Genomic DNA, 15,938 nt, shown 5'->3' with positions numbered 1-15,938 from the left:
GGAAGACTAATGAGTCTTCAATTTAAGAAAATGTTGAGTAAGCTTATCCTCATTCCTGCACAGAGTACAACAGCAATATATTCTATAATAGTAAAGCAAAATAAATAAAAGTATCCCAACTAAACTAAATAAGAAGGCTTTCCATGAACTGTGGGACTGTTGGAACTAAGCTAACATGGGGTCACTAGCTGATTTCAGTGTGCCCAGAATTAGAATATTGATTCAGATTTTTACATTACACATCCCTCTTGTTTCTTCTGAGCTGTGGCCAGAGATCACTAGTTGGTTCACAGGAACAATCAAGGTTAACACAAATTGCAGAAACAAACTTAAAACTAACTATGAGACAAGGTTTTAATAACAAGTGTACCATAGTTTTTAAAACATAAGTTCTCTCTCCAGTTTCCAATTTTTACTAAAGAAAAATCATGGTAAGGTCAATTTCCTTTATTATACTTGGCCTGATTATTTGTATAAAGTGCAGCAAGAATAATTATTTTTCACATAGGCTTTTTGTAAATTGGCTTCAATGGAACTCCATTCCATAGAAGGAATCTCAGGTAAGACTTTTTTAAAGCTGAGCCCAGCCATAGGTTTGTACCCTCAAATACCTATGAGTTGAGTAAATTCATCTCCTTCCGTGGGTCCCAAGATAACCTGGGGTTCCTGGATCTGACAGAAACTGACATTCTTTACTTACCACAGGTCAGGGACCTTGTACAGGGACTGTATAGGCAAGGTATGAGGCCAGTTTCCCAAAAGGACTTTTTGGCTTTACAAGTCAAATTTGATTCCTTAAAGGAAAGCACACCATTCCAGTCAAAGCCTTGGTAAAATAACCATTTTCTCTAATTGTGTCCTGTTGCAAAAGAAAATAGATTCTTATTGCACTTATGCAAATAACTATATTGCCATAAATTAAGAATACTCACAAATATTTTCCAGTTTCTGGAGAAATCAGAATATTTCTGATTTCAGAATGTTTCTGGAGAGAAACAAATATGCTTCAAATTTTGTTCACAGCAGTATACTTTACTTAATTGTTAAAGGCTATAAATAGCTCAAAAGAAAAGTTTTCTTGACTGTGGAAAACAAAACAAAGGATCAGCAACGTTTTCAGCAAAAAGTTTAAAATGTTACTTTATACTTTTTATTGGTTCAGTTAATTTAGTTAACTCCTTTTTGATATTCATGAACATTTCAGCTCTCCATGAGAATCCTAAAAGTTTTTTCCCCTATTCTAATGTCACAATTTCCAAAGTTATCAGAAATTTGCATTTAAAAACACCTGTTAGAGTTCTATAATTGATTATAAACCACCATCTAAAGAGGATTAAAACAAGGTAACAATTGTTTGTGGGTGACAAAAACATCTTAGGACAGCCAAAGTCAAAAACACAATTGACAAAGAAACCTGGTTACCCCTGTGGCATACAATGATTTTATGTAACAATTATAGTTATTAGTGATAATGTACACCAACTCATATCAGAATTATAGGAGTTTCCCATAATTTTGGAATATATACCGATAACACATTTATATAAATACAGCCCAAAGAAAACCAAACATTATTTTACATTTGATGATGATGCTTGTATGATTTGACTATCCCAAATAAGCCAAATGTCACTTTTATATTACTGTACTATTGATGTCAAACTCAATTCTTAATGAAACCTTATAGACAAACATATTTAATCTTAATCAGTTTGACCATAAATTAAGGTTCTCATAAACCTTTTATAACTGTTTATAATTTTTGTTAAAGAGCAGATCATAAGCATGTTTTTCCTCTAAGAAAAACCTGTTATGTTTTTATTCCAGTGTTCAGTTTACAGAAAAACTGAATAATACCGCTTTACCTTTAGCCAATATGTTCACATATAGAAATTTTCTTTACAATTAATTTTTCACAAACCTTCTAAAACTGTTCAAACTTTCAGCTTTATTCTATTTAACTTAAAACAATCCTTTAACCCTTTAATCTTAGGCAAGAAAGCAACATTCCCATGCCTTCTTATCATCTTTTACCAAAAACACATTTCACTTTCTGTATACACCTTATATGTACAACTGTTTCTTCAGTAGTCTCAAATGCATGTTACAATGTAAGCTCTTAGCAACTTTTACTTTTGGCGAAAAGCTTGGTAAATTCCAGATTTTAATCATGTACTAGGTGTGGAGCCTAGCCTAGGACACACCAGGCAGAAGAACAGATATGGCTGACTCCAGCACAGCTAGGGGGCATGGCTAACTCCATTATGTCCCCAGGCCTTATCTAGAATCTAATGTCTCCAAGGTAGAATTGAACAATTTTCAAAAGACAAAGAAGCAGTTTATGACCTTAAAGCATTTAGTAAACTTAATATTTGACCTGCCTAATTTAGACCAAATGTCTTTACTTTACTAATAATCTTTAAAACTGTTTTTATTTCCCAAAGGCTACTTAACTCACATGAACTAAAAGTCATTCCACTTTTTACTTTTCTGACAAAATATTTGATTTCAGCACTTATTATTATTAAACCAATTAAACAAAGCTCTTTTATATTACACACACATAATACATATAAATACATAGACAGAAGATAAAGGACTCATTCATTCCCTATGCCAGGAATTGGACCCTAAACCCAGGCCACCACTGCGAAAAGGGAAAGCATGATCACATGGTTACAAGGTCAAGCTCCCAAGGACATGATTGACCAGAGGGAAACCTCATCCTTTTCACACACACACACACACACACACACACACACACACACACACACACACACATGGAGAGAGACAGAGAAAGAGAGAGATAGAGACCAGAAGTCTGACTGGTAAGAAATTCTTACCCTTTGCTGTCATGCCAGGCTTCTGGGTTCCCTTTCCCTGAGCGGCCCTAGTGACCTGGCTTGCTGCGCCACAGCCTTGGGGGCCAAGCCACAGCACAAAGGAAAATTACCTCTTTCCATTCTGGCCAGAGTAAAATACATGTGGCAAGACATAGACATTAACCACTCTGCTTAGCACCCAATTGAAAACTGCCAAGGCTCAAACTTCCCCACATCATCATTAATCCAACTTCCAACCAGGAGTTTCAACATGTGGTCTCTGGGCAAGATGGCTGCCCTGAGTAATAAAAAAGATAAAAAACGGAAAGGAGAAAGAGAAAATCATTGCCTGTGGCAGGGTGGGGAAGGCAAAATGCTCAGGGAGGCCAGAGAATGACCCAACCATGTTGCAGCGACACTGAAAAATTCAGGCGGCTGCTGTCGTGAAGAGATTTTCTTCAAGCAGTCCCATCAGCTGTCAAGTTTCCTCTTTTGGGGCAGGAAAAAGCTCCCCATGTCCCATGATCCTGTAAATGCCTAATCATGTTACCCATTACCGTCAGCAACGACTGCAAGGCAGCTTAATCCAAAGAGAATAGCAGTTAACATACTGTGGTGCCAAACCCATTCTTAGCCAAGAGGCACTTTACTGAGAAGGGTCTCTAACCCCCTAAATCTTAGAAGGGACTCTAGTCCTCCTAAGTTGGGCCTCTAACCCAAGGTCAGTCAAGTGTCCTTGCCTTTTATTGAGAGGAGCCTTTAACTCTCTCTGTGCTAGGAGAGATTCTAACTCCCCTAAGTTGGGCCTCTAACCCAATCTCATCCTTTACCCAGATATGTGCACCCCACTTACCCAAAGTCATCCAATCAGTGCTGCAGTCTATTTCGTGTGGGAAGAGAGGTCTCCTCAGTATTGTCCCTTCAGGGTTTGCCAGAAAGATGTTACTGGATCCCACCACTTACCCAAAGTTAGCATTTGGGTCAGGGGCTTCTGCACTATAGTCCCTTCATGGTTGCCAAAAAGATGTTACAGGAAAGGGGTCCCAATGCAGACTGCAAAAGAGGGTTATTGGATCTTGCACAAGAAATAATTCAGAGTAGTCCATAGAGTAAAGTGAAAGCAAATTTATTAAGAAAGTAAAGGAATGAAAGAGTGTCTATTCCATAGACAGAGCAGCCAAGGGCTGCTGGTTGCCAATTTTTATAATTATTTATTGATGATATACTAAACAAAGGGTGGATTATTCACGTCTCCCCCTTTTAGACCATACAGGATAACTTCCTGATGTTGCCATGGCATTTGTAAACTGTCATTCTGCTGGTGGGATAGTAGCAGTGAGGATGAGCAGAGGTCACTCTCGTCACCTTCTTGGTTTTGGTGGGTTTTAGCCAGCTTCTTTACTGCAATCTAGTTGATCAGCAAGGTTTTTATGACCTGTATCTTGTGTTGACCTCCTATCTCATTCTGTGACTTAGAATGCCTTAACTGTCTGGGAATGCAGCCCAGTAGGTCTCAGCCTCATTTTACCCAGCTCCTATTTAAGATAAAGTTGCTCTGGTTCACATGCCTCTGACAGTATTCACTACTATCATCAGCATTTATTCAGCATCAACTCATTGCAAGGCCCAGGGGGTGGAGGTCTTGAATTTGTAGAAATATAAGTCCTAGGCACATTCTTAAAAATGGCTTGGCTAATTCTTCTGTGTTGCCCATGCTTTCTATATTTATATTTTCATTGATAGAAAGACATTTGATCTAGATTCAAGATCATTGTCCTATATAAAAATGATACATTTTTATTCCAGAGATTTGTTTTTTAGGATGGGTTGGCAGTTACAATTTCTGCTTTCCACTTTGTTTGTAAATTGAGTGGAACTAATAGATGATGCAGTTGATCCATTTTTTTCCCTAAAAGACCTTGAATGAACCATACTTGCTAAGTTTCATTTTATGCCCATTAAATTTTGCTTATTTAGAGGTTAATGTTGATGTGTTAAGTTTGAGAGTGCTCTCTGTAAATGGCCTTTATAGATAGTTTCGCATACAAATATGGGCTCTCTATGCATTCTGTTTTCCATTTTTTATATGTAAATGTTTGCCTACATTTTTGTTAGTTTCTGAGTTCTGCTTTTCTTAAAATGATTTTTTCTGCATCAGATAAACTTATTAATTTACTTAGATTTCAGAATTTTCTTTAAAAATGTTGTGACAGTCAGTATATTGAAGACACTAAGGATATATACACTAGCCTTTCCAGTGTGAAGTGTGTACATTTTCCTCCTTCTTAAATTTTCTCTTATTGCTTATCTTATCAGGAGAAATGGGATTCCAACCAGTCTGTGAAAATCCACATTGGCTAAAATAGTTTCATGTTCAACAACCCTCTATTTTGTTTACTTGCTTGGTGTTGAAAATTGTATATATTCATTCCATCTTTATCATGGTAATTGAGTTTGTATTTACTTCTCAATAATTTGATTTTTATTAATCAGTTTTTTTTTCTCCATAATTAGCTAACAGACTTTTACTCTCTGCTAGCTTCTGGCTGTTGTTTTGGACATGCATTTGGATGCCAGGCCAATTATTTTTCTCTTGATGGTACTTTTTCTGTATGCCTGGAGACTTGTAAGATTTCTCATTTTAGCTTGAGCACTTTTATACCCAGGTTTTACTCTCAGTGTATCCTGGAAGTCAGTGAAAACTTAAACCGTGGATTGAGGTCTTCAGCTCAAATAAATATTCTTCTGTATTTATTCAATTAATCCTCCATTTGTTCATTTTACTTCTGGAATTCCTATTACTCGCTTTAGCTCTCTTGGATCTTTGTTCTACATTTCTTACATTTTTTTTGGTCATTACTTCAATTTACATTTTGTCCTTTTCTTTTTGGTATTTATGTTACTTGATTTTCCATGCCATTCATTTAGATTTCAGTGGTAATTACTCTTTCATGTTGTCTGGTTTGTTTAGAAAATCATGTTTAATTATTTTTTTAAACCTATAGAATGATTATTTTATTCTGCTTTTGAATCACTATTTTTTCCTGTATTTTCCACTTCCACTTGCCTCTCTCAGCTGCTCTATTTTTGCATGGTTGTTTTTTTTTTCCTATGGCAGCCAATTAAGTTATTGCATTTCAGCTCCCAAACTGTACCCATCTATACTAGAATTTGTGATGTTGAAACTGCGACTTGGCTAATTTCATTTCAGCGTTGTCAGTTGCTTCTCCTTATGCTTTGTCAATAGGGGACGAGACACACACACACAGAGACAGAGAGAGAGAGAGAGTGCAAAGCAAGGCAAGGCAAGAGGAGTAAGAAGGTACTTACTATTTTCTGTTTTCATCCTATTGGCTTTCTGTTACTTCCTGACAGTCTCTTTTTTCTGTATCACCCTAGCAATGCGTCTTCATGCTAGTAGCAGATGTGTTGACCCATAACAGTGGTTAAATCCTGTTTGCAGTGTTTCCAGCTCTGAAAACACCAGCTTTATCCTAATACGGCAGATACCGCAGCACCAACTAACTGACAGACCCTCCTCAGAAGTCTGGGTCCCAGCCCCCAATGGCACATCTTCCTCCAGCTCAGAGATGCCATCCCCAGCCAAACTGAGCCACTTCCTCAAAGGTCTGAATGTCAGCTCTGTGGGGCGTCTTCTCCAAGTTTCAGTATGTCTAAACTCTTTCCCTGGTTCCCTTCGCCTTGCGGGGTAACTTCGCTGTATAGTTGCTACCTCCACGAAAACTCAGAGTTCTCTTTCTGACCTTTCAGTTACCTAAATAACATTGCTTAATTATTTTTTATCTTGAATTTTCTCTGTTAAAATAATTGTTATGGCTTCTGTCTCCTAATTGGACCCTAACTGAGACACTGACTGATCATTCAGTTTGCTGGAGGTTCTTAAATGACTGCTATTTTCCTTTGTTAGCTCACTGGGTATGAAAGCTGGTTGTTGGAAGATGCTAAATGGCACAAGTCCCGATGGCAGCTGAAACACTCTCTTGTGGTCTGGCAGTATATGCACAGGACATTTGCCAGTGCCATGGCTAGGTACTGCTCCACAGACACCTGAGATTTTCTCAGCCCAAAAGACAGAAAAGATTGGACTTTTCCCCAGGATGCTCTGCTTTCTGCTATTTGTCTGGGATCCCTCAAAAACTGGTTTCTGGGCTCTCAACCAGTCCATAGAAAAGAAAGCATCATATTAGTTATTAGTATCATCTGGAGAACTTTTCCAATGTCGGCCTCATACTTCTCAGCAGTATATAGGCCCTAGCAGCAATTTTACTTAGGAAGTGTAAATGAATCGGGAAAGGCATCTGCATTCAGGTGTTCACGTTTCCAAACCCTCCCTCAAAGATTTTTCTTTGTTATAAAATCTGTCAATGTATGTTATAAAGTCTATAATAAGATAGATTTTTTAGTTTTTAATACAGACACTTTATGTAATATAAAAGTCTTATTTGTAGTTAGGAACTTACCTTTCAATAAGGTAGAAGGATGACTGGAAAAACTAATCTAGGCTACAGATGATTTTCTCTTATTTACATGTTTTTAAATACTTTTCCCTTTTCCCAGTGAAGGCTAAAGGAGTACCTGGAAAATTGGAGGGAAAGTAATGGACAAGATCAAAACCTTTGAGGCCCAAATGAATGATGTTTCTAAATGACTATCATTTGTAGCTGTACCATTGATTTATTTAATAGTATTATACAGAGATTACTTGCCTCTATGGCTTTTTTTAGGTTATATATCTTTTTTTTTTTTTTTTTTTTTTCAATGAGGGTGTTGCTATATTGCCCAGGCTGATCTCGAACTCCTGGGCTCAAGTGATCCTTTCCCCTCAGCCTCTCGAGTAGCTGGGACTACAGATGTGCATCACTGTGCCCAATTAGAATTATTATTTTCTTGATACAATATGAGTAAAAATATTTGATGGCAGAGACCAAATCCAACAAGAATTGATATTATAAATGCAGTAGATTATAATTAAGTTACTATAATCTGAATGTTTGTGTCCCCCAGCACCAGTTCTTCTGTTGAAATTCTATCCTGCAAAGTGATGGTACTAAGGCTTTGGGAAGCGATTAGATCATGAGGAAATGAGATTAATACCCTTATAAAAGAGATTCCAGAGGGATCCCAAAAAGATCCTTTGCCCCTTATGCCATGTGAAGTTACAGTAGAAGAAGACTATCTTTGAGGAAGCAGGCTCTCACTTCACATCAAATCTTCTGGCCCCTTGATTTTGGATTTCCCAGCCTTCAGAACTGTGAGAAGTAAATTTCTATTATTTATAAACCATCCAGTATATGATATTGTCTTATAGTAGCCCAAATAGACTAAGACATAAATACTTGCTGGTTTTTATGTAACTGAAAACCTAAATTTCAATCATTTAGCTTTTATAATAGTTCTGTGAGATAATTACCCATACTCTCATTTTCTGGATTTGGAAATGGAGGCTTATATAAATTAAGTAGAGATTGACCTAAGCTATCCTGCTAATGCATAGCAGAGCCGTATTTCATACTCAGTCTGTCAGACTCTAAAACCTGTGCCTTTAATCATTATCCAAGTTGCCCACCTTCAGAATGACTCTTTTTACATTCCTAATCACACTATTAAATATTCTGAAATTTTATTGAGATTTAAGACTATTTATCTATCAATTGGAGTATTCCATTGATATTATCATGAGGAACGTAAGTACATTCTTATAAAATCAAAGTGGTCTTTTTCAGTATAGGGAGAATATTATGTTTGGTAATGATAGCATTTACTAGTAATATTTATCTTGTGTGTGCTATGTTCTTGTCGTTGCTCAACATTCTTTTCAAATAGCAATCCATTAGTGATTATAACAACAAAGTGAGAAAAGCATTATTGTCATTGTCTTCATTTTCACAAATGAATAAACTAAGGAACGGAAGATTTTTTTTTAATTCCAAAAGTGCCAGAAGTTGTTGGTAAAGGCATTAGAATTAAGATTGGAAAGTCTGACTTCTGTGCCCATGCTTTTAACCACTAACCTATACCCCAAAGGTATCTTATTTGTTTCTCTAAAATCTTATTCACTTAAATCATCTGGGTCACATGATGTTCATATTTATGGAAGAGTATATTTTCATATAAAAACTTGTTAGTTGTTAATTACCAATTGTTTCTTTTAAAGATCATACATTTTATATCTAGATTTTATCTTCCTTTCTCAAAGGTAATAAACTCTCAAATGAAAGAAAAAAATTCCTAGTATTAATTAGAAGATACAATGATACAATGTTTTTCTCTATTTCAAATAAACCAGTACATTATAACCTTAAAATAATTTAATAATGGTGTTTACATTTAGAATACAACATTAAAGAGTAGGTTAATTTTAAAAATTATTTTGATACTTCTGGCATATTATTTTTTAATTGCTTTTGAGTAATGTTAAAATTTTTCATTTCTGACATAAAATGTTCATTTGCTAGATTATTCTCTTAATTTTGTTGTAATCATTATTTTAGTCCACTGGGTTTAGAAACTGAGGCTTATGGAGCATTCCATAATTTTTCAAAAATTATTCCTCTATATTTTAAAAGAGAAATAATTGGAAAGAGCATTGGTAGATTAGCTCCAATATTTTATCAAAATTAGGCGGAGGAGGATATGTAGAAACAATATCTTAAAATTGGTGTCCTGGAAATTGCAAGGCAATCATATCTTTGTATTTAAAGAACAACACACTGAATAATGATGCATTGGGCTGAAATTTCCTTTTTTCCTTATTTGAGTTGTTATCTCTCCAAAAAATATCATTTTGAAGAATATAATTAAAGTGCATTGCAGCACTACAATGGGGACCATTGCACCTTCAATTAGACCTTGGCAGGAGTATGTAATAAAGATATCTTAGTAAGGCAGTATCTTTGTTGATTAAGATGGAATAAGAAGTAGGTGAAACTAACTTTATGTGAAATTCTCTTGATGAACATTGAAAATCAATGGGTTTAGCATACTCTGCTCTTAAACATGAATGAAGTAGAGAGGGTCTATTTTCTCCTTCAATGATTATGACTGCTCAATGAGTCATATAATCTACTCATTTGAGGTAGTTTATTAACTTCAATTTCATTTCTTAATTACCTGGAGAATTACTCAAATGTCATTGCAATCAATCAATCAGCCAACCTTTATTAAGTATCTACTCTTTTAGGTTTGAGGGGAATGCAAAGAAACTTGATATGACTCTCTCCTTCCAGAAACTTACAGCCTAATAATCCAATAATATTCATAATTACCATTTGTTTAGAAGTTATCATGTACCAGATACTAAATGTAATATTTAATTTTACTTTTAAAACATTCCTATAAAGTAGGTGGCATTAGTTCTACTTTGTGGATGAAAAAACAGACTAAAAACTATCATATCCAAATTCACACATCTAGAAATTGACAGAGCAGGGATGCAAATGCATAATGGCTATATTACCAAGAGGAATGTCCTGATGTACAAACAAGGTTAAGATCCTTAACCTTGACTAAGATTTCCCACTAGGAAACTAAAAATGAGATGGAGGTTCCTTCTTAACAGGTGCCTCATAGTGCACTGCTTTTTAAAATTTACATGTTTAACTTGGGGATTTGTTGAAATGAAGATTTTTATTCAGTAGGTGCAATGATTCAAATGTTTTGCCCTCTTTGAAATTTATGTTGAAACTAAATCTCTAGTGCAGCAACATTAAGAGCTATGGCCATCAGGAGATAATTGAGTTATAAGGGTCCCACCCTCATGAATTAGATTAACTGATTATAAAAACACTTAATTGGCCAGGTGTGGTGGCTCACGCCTGTAATCCCAGCACTTTGGGAGGCCGAGGTGGGCAGATCACGAGGTCAGGAGATCAAGACCATCCTGACTAACACGGTGAAACCCTGTCTCTACTAAAAAATACAAAAAATTAGCCAGGCATGGTGGCGGGCGCCTGTAGTCCCAGCTACTCAGGAGGCTGAGGCAGGAGAATGACTTGAACCTGGGAGGTGGAGCTTGCAGTGAGCCGAGATCCTGCCACAGCACTCCAGCCTGGGTGACAGAACGACACAATGTTTCTACCTTCTGGAGAATGCAGCAACAAGTTGCCATTTTGGAAGCCGAGAACAGCCTTCACTAGACACCCATTCTGCCACATCCTTGATCTTGGACTTCCCAGCCTCCAGAACCATGAAAAAAAAAAGTTCTAGTTTTTATAATGTACTCAGTCTGTGGTATTTTGATATAGCAGCACAAACTGACTAAGACAGTAGGTCTGGGTGGAGCCTGAGATTCTGCCTTACCTCTGAAATTCAAATGCACTCTCTAGTGATACCAATGCTTTTAGTCAGCCTACCATTCTGAATAATAAGACTTTAGGGGACTTTCAACAAGTAAGAACAAGACTATTATTTCCACAAGAGTGGAAATAATAATCATAAAATTTTATAATGTACATGCCAGTTAATTCTGGCAAGCTTAAGACATGATAAATATAATTTCAAATTCTCATATATATTTATTAGAAAATTAAGAAACAACAAAAATTGATCTATAGATTAGAGTCAAGATTGCCTTACTTCTGCTTCCAATTAAGATGGAGTAGCAGGGATTTGATTTACCCTTCTGCTTGAGGTAACTAAAATACCAGACAACACATATGAAACAACAGTACTTAAGACATTAGATATTATAAAAGAAGGGCAGTGATATTTCAGAGTTGGAACACAAATGACGTAAGTCCTATTACTGTCCCAGCTTACTGCCTAGAGAAAGTTTCCAAGCCATAGGGTAGAGAGGGAAAAGCCAGTAGAGATAAGTAGGAATTTCCATGTGCCTAGAGTTTATAGAATACCAGACAAGAGAGAGGACATGAAGAGAAAACCTCAGAGATCTGCAGAGGGTCCCCCTTGAGTATTCAGTTTAATAGTCATCAACCCATGCAGGTGAGAAAACTATCTGAGGCCAAACAAAGAGCCACCCAAAATAATTTTCAGGAAAAGTAGCCATAGCTCAAACAGGACCAAGAATAGTGATTTCTCCTGACAGCTAGAATAAAAATGCCTTAAAATTCACAGGTATCCATTAAGAGTACAAAGAAGGGTCTTGGCTCAGTAGTAGGAAAACCTTAAAATAAATGCAGCTCTTGTCCTGCCTAATAGAGCTTAAAAGCAAGGCTCAAAGGGATCCAACTTTTAAAACACATGTGATCTAGCACAAAGCTCAAGAAATACAAAAATATTCATAAGAATACAAAAATATTATAGAGCCAAAACAAATGAAATTCACAGTATCTGGTATTTAATATAAAAATTACCCAGCATGCAAAGAATCAGGGAAATATAACCTATAAAGAACAGAAAGTCTAACAAAAAATGACTCAGAAATGATGCAAATGATAGAAAAAGTAGACAAGTAGGTTAAAACAGTTATTATGATTATATTCCATATGGTTAAGGAGGTAGAAAAAATTAAATGTATTGAAAAGATAAATGGAAAATATGAAAAGACTAACTAAAATATAAAAAGTTTTAATTTGCTTGAAATACAGAAAGCAGACAATGACATACCAAGAAACACAATCAACCAAGAAATCTTATATTCTTTTTTATTCCTGTTACTTCATTGTGTTAGCCAACACTGCCTTGAAAATGTGACTTAGAAGGAAAGAGAAACATAGGCAGCCCATAGTTCCATTTTTTTTAAATCTATTTTTATTCGTTAGTAAGCCAAAGGTCAAGAGTGTTGATAGAATATGTAGAATATGCACATATCAAGAAATGAAATAAAAACAGTAAGTTTTGTGCAGCATTTGTACTCTCCTGGTAAAAACAAAATACATATGCATGTATGAGCTACTAAATACAAGTTGTATAATTTCAGTAATTCTGTATCTGAGTTAAATGCTCTTATATTTGCATTTAAAATAAGCATTTTAGGTAAGTTGATTAACGACATTCCTGACCTATGTGAATCTTACAAAATGGCACAATGCATACCATACATACAATTGAACCACCCAATTTTTACCCAAAAGCTTTGAAAATAGTTAGAACAATTAAGCCCTTTGCTAACTTTGCCACATTTTATTTAACAATTTAATACACATTTTTACAAATAATTCCTACAGGCTACAGTTTTATATAAACCTGTTGAAATAAAGAAGATGGAGATTTTTGACATTTTCTTTCTTAACTCCCCCCATTCAACATTAAAAACATTCTCAACATTTGGGAAGAGAAGACAGTTTAGTATATAGTTCCCAAACTTTTTACCATCAATGACCTTTTTATTATTATGTTTTCCCACATGTACTCCATATGTTGAAGAATCTGGTCTACCTAATAAAATGCCTTATTTGATTAAACTTTGTTTCCTCATTTTTCTTTTTCAAAGACAAATCTTTTTACTATCAATCTAGTCTTCTATCATTATGACAACCACCCTCACTCAGTAAATATAATTTCAGCCAAAAAATAAAAAGATTACTATCTCCGTTAGGTATCCAAGAGTGTTGGCAAATGCCTCTGGGCTTTTGAAATACTAAATCCTCACTGTTGTGGATCAGAAAGAATAGCCTCTCAATTTCTTCTATCTTTATTGCAGTGGAAATTACAAGAAAGACTGAAAATATGCAGTTGATCAAGGGAAAAAAAGATAAAATTATAGGAATAATTCTGCTTCTGAGAGGAATACATGCCTGGTGACCAATGAAACCCAAAAATTTCTTGGTACCAATGACCATGCAAATTCTCTTATTAATAATCTATTGCTTATAGGATTTGCTTCGGAGAAAGCAAAAAACAAATAAATGCCAATCCCTATCCCATTCAGGTTATTTTCCATATAACCTGTCATTCTTTAGGCAGTGATAGATAATGGAGTTGCATAGGGGCTGGTACAGTAACAAGAATGATAGGATACTTTTATTTTTCTTATATTGTTTTAAAAATTGATAGAAAAAAGCTAGAAATCCCTTCAGATTAAAACAAAACTACTTTATTCTGATTTTTTTAACAAGTTGTTAATTGGCTGTTGAAGAAAAACTATCAGCAGTGAGATATTTTAGGCATATATATATTATATATATATATATATATACACACACACACACTGTGTGTGTATATATACACATAAAGGTTTAAACTAGCTTTACTACCATGTTTGTAGTACATGGTTTCAGTTGTTTTGCTTAATTCTACTTGGTTATTTGAAGTCTCTGGCTAGATGGTTGTCTTAGTTCATTTAGTGTTGCTATAAATGAATAACTGAGGCTGGGTAATTTATGAAGAAGATAGGGCACTGGTGAAAGCTTCAGGCTGCTTCCACAAATGGTGAAAGGAAAAGGGGAGCTGTGCAGAGATCACATGGTAAGAGAGGAAGCAAGAGAGAGAGGGAAGTGCCAGGCTTTTTTTATTATTATTTTTAAACAACCAACTCCCATAGGAACTAAAATATTCATAATTCACTCACCCCCTCGTCCAGGGAGGGCATAAATCTATTCATGTAGGATCTGCACCCATGACACAAACACCTCCCACTACACCCCACTTCTCAACACTGTCACAATGAGGATTAAATTTCAACATGAGATTTGTAGGGGGTGAACATTCAAACTAGCAATGATACACTATTTCTCTAACTGACAGATAAATCACACAAGGTTTTTCATGCATTCTTGGTAGTGTCCCAGCTCCTATGCAGCTCCAATATCTATCACTGCCCATGTACTTATAGGCCCTGTTTATTCTGTCTTTCTGAAATATATGTCTTGTGAATGAACCTTTTTTCCTTCTAAAGCTAGCAGGCCTAAGCATAGATGTTATTTTGTGCTACTTCAAATCTGGAAACAAACATTGAAAGAAAAATTCAATGTACTTTATTATAATCATAATTTAACTTTAAAAAGTTGTATGTAAGGAGTGTGTGTTTGTGTGTGTGTGTGTGTGTGTGTGTGAGAGAGAGAGAGAGAGAGAGACAGAGAGAGAAAGAGATTTCTCTTGTAAATCATAAAATATCTATTTGTTCCTAAATAAAGAGCTGTCAGGCTCAGCTTTCTTATGGCTATTCAACCAGTACCTTTCACATAATTGTTCCAATTTTTAATGGATAATGGATAAACCTGTGACTCATACCTTATATATTTTTGTTTTTTTATTATAAATAAAGAATAAACAAAGGTTATAAACCAATTTCCTGTTTCTATAGCATAATTTCTCAACCTGTCTTTATGAGAAATTTATCTTGATTATACAGATAAGTGGAGTCGCAGTAAGCATCCCTGTCTTATCTAAAATGTCCTGTTATTTTTTGAATTATATTGTATCTGTACAACACCAGAATACTTGATTAAAAAAAAGTTAAAAATGAAAATAGTGGTTAAAACTACTTTTGTGCCAGATAGAAAAGAGATGTAAAGATTTGGTGAAGGTTTAATCTAAAATTTTCTTTTAATTTCTCCATTGTCTCCCCCTACAATTGAAGTTCTGTATGCCTATATTCTCATTTTTAAAAAAGAAATTATAGCAGTCTTATTTTATGATCTTTTTATAACACAGTGGAATAATAAGCAGCACAATAAAGAATGCAGATTTCATTGGTATAGGCCAACTTACGTTTTTTACTTCTAATTAAACTCTTTGAACATCAGACTGATATAAACATTTGCTTGGACCATTTTGAAAAAGTATGGAGGGGAACTTACATGCTAGTACAAGATTATAGGTTGCTGAAAAGGATTCCAACTGGGAGTCATCTGACCTCACTGTAAATACTTCCAGTCAAGGAACACTTACCTTTAAAGGTAAATCTTTGAAAACAGTTGTTTTTCTGAAAAAGTTATGTTTGATCAGAAGTTAATTTAATATTTATTATTGTATTTACAATTTTATTCATGGTGTTTAAGGCAGGTGAACAGCTTTTATCCCAGAACCTTAAAACGGACCAAGGTTTTAGTTTAGTTTTCTAAACTACTTTTCCTTTTTTTTTTTTTTTTTTTGAGACGGAGTCTCACTCTGTCGCCCAGGCTGGAGTGCAGTGGCGCGATCTCGGCTCATTGCAAGCTCCACCTCCCGGGTTCACACCATTCTCCTGCCTCAGCC

General features: G+C 35.3%; 1 long non-coding RNA gene across 1 annotated transcript in view; it reads left to right on the top strand.

The window, feature by feature from the left end:
• Positions 1–4,145: 4,145 nt before the first annotated feature.
• Positions 4,146–15,938, top strand: part of LINC02516 (long intergenic non-protein coding RNA 2516) — a 58,493-nt gene continuing 46,700 nt past the window's right edge. Inside the window, exons 1-2 of the long non-coding RNA NR_110838.1 lie at positions 4,146–4,200; positions 6,070–6,144. This is a non-coding gene — a long non-coding RNA (long intergenic non-protein coding RNA 2516). The remainder of the gene's footprint in view (positions 4,201–6,069; positions 6,145–15,938) is intronic.

This window comes from Homo sapiens, chromosome 4, assembly GCF_000001405.40.
Source record: "Homo sapiens chromosome 4, GRCh38.p14 Primary Assembly".
Classification (NCBI taxonomy): domain Eukaryota; kingdom Metazoa; phylum Chordata; class Mammalia; order Primates; family Hominidae; genus Homo; species Homo sapiens.
The sequence above is the reverse complement of the archived record's forward strand: the minus strand, read 5'-3'. Positions and strand labels throughout refer to the sequence as shown.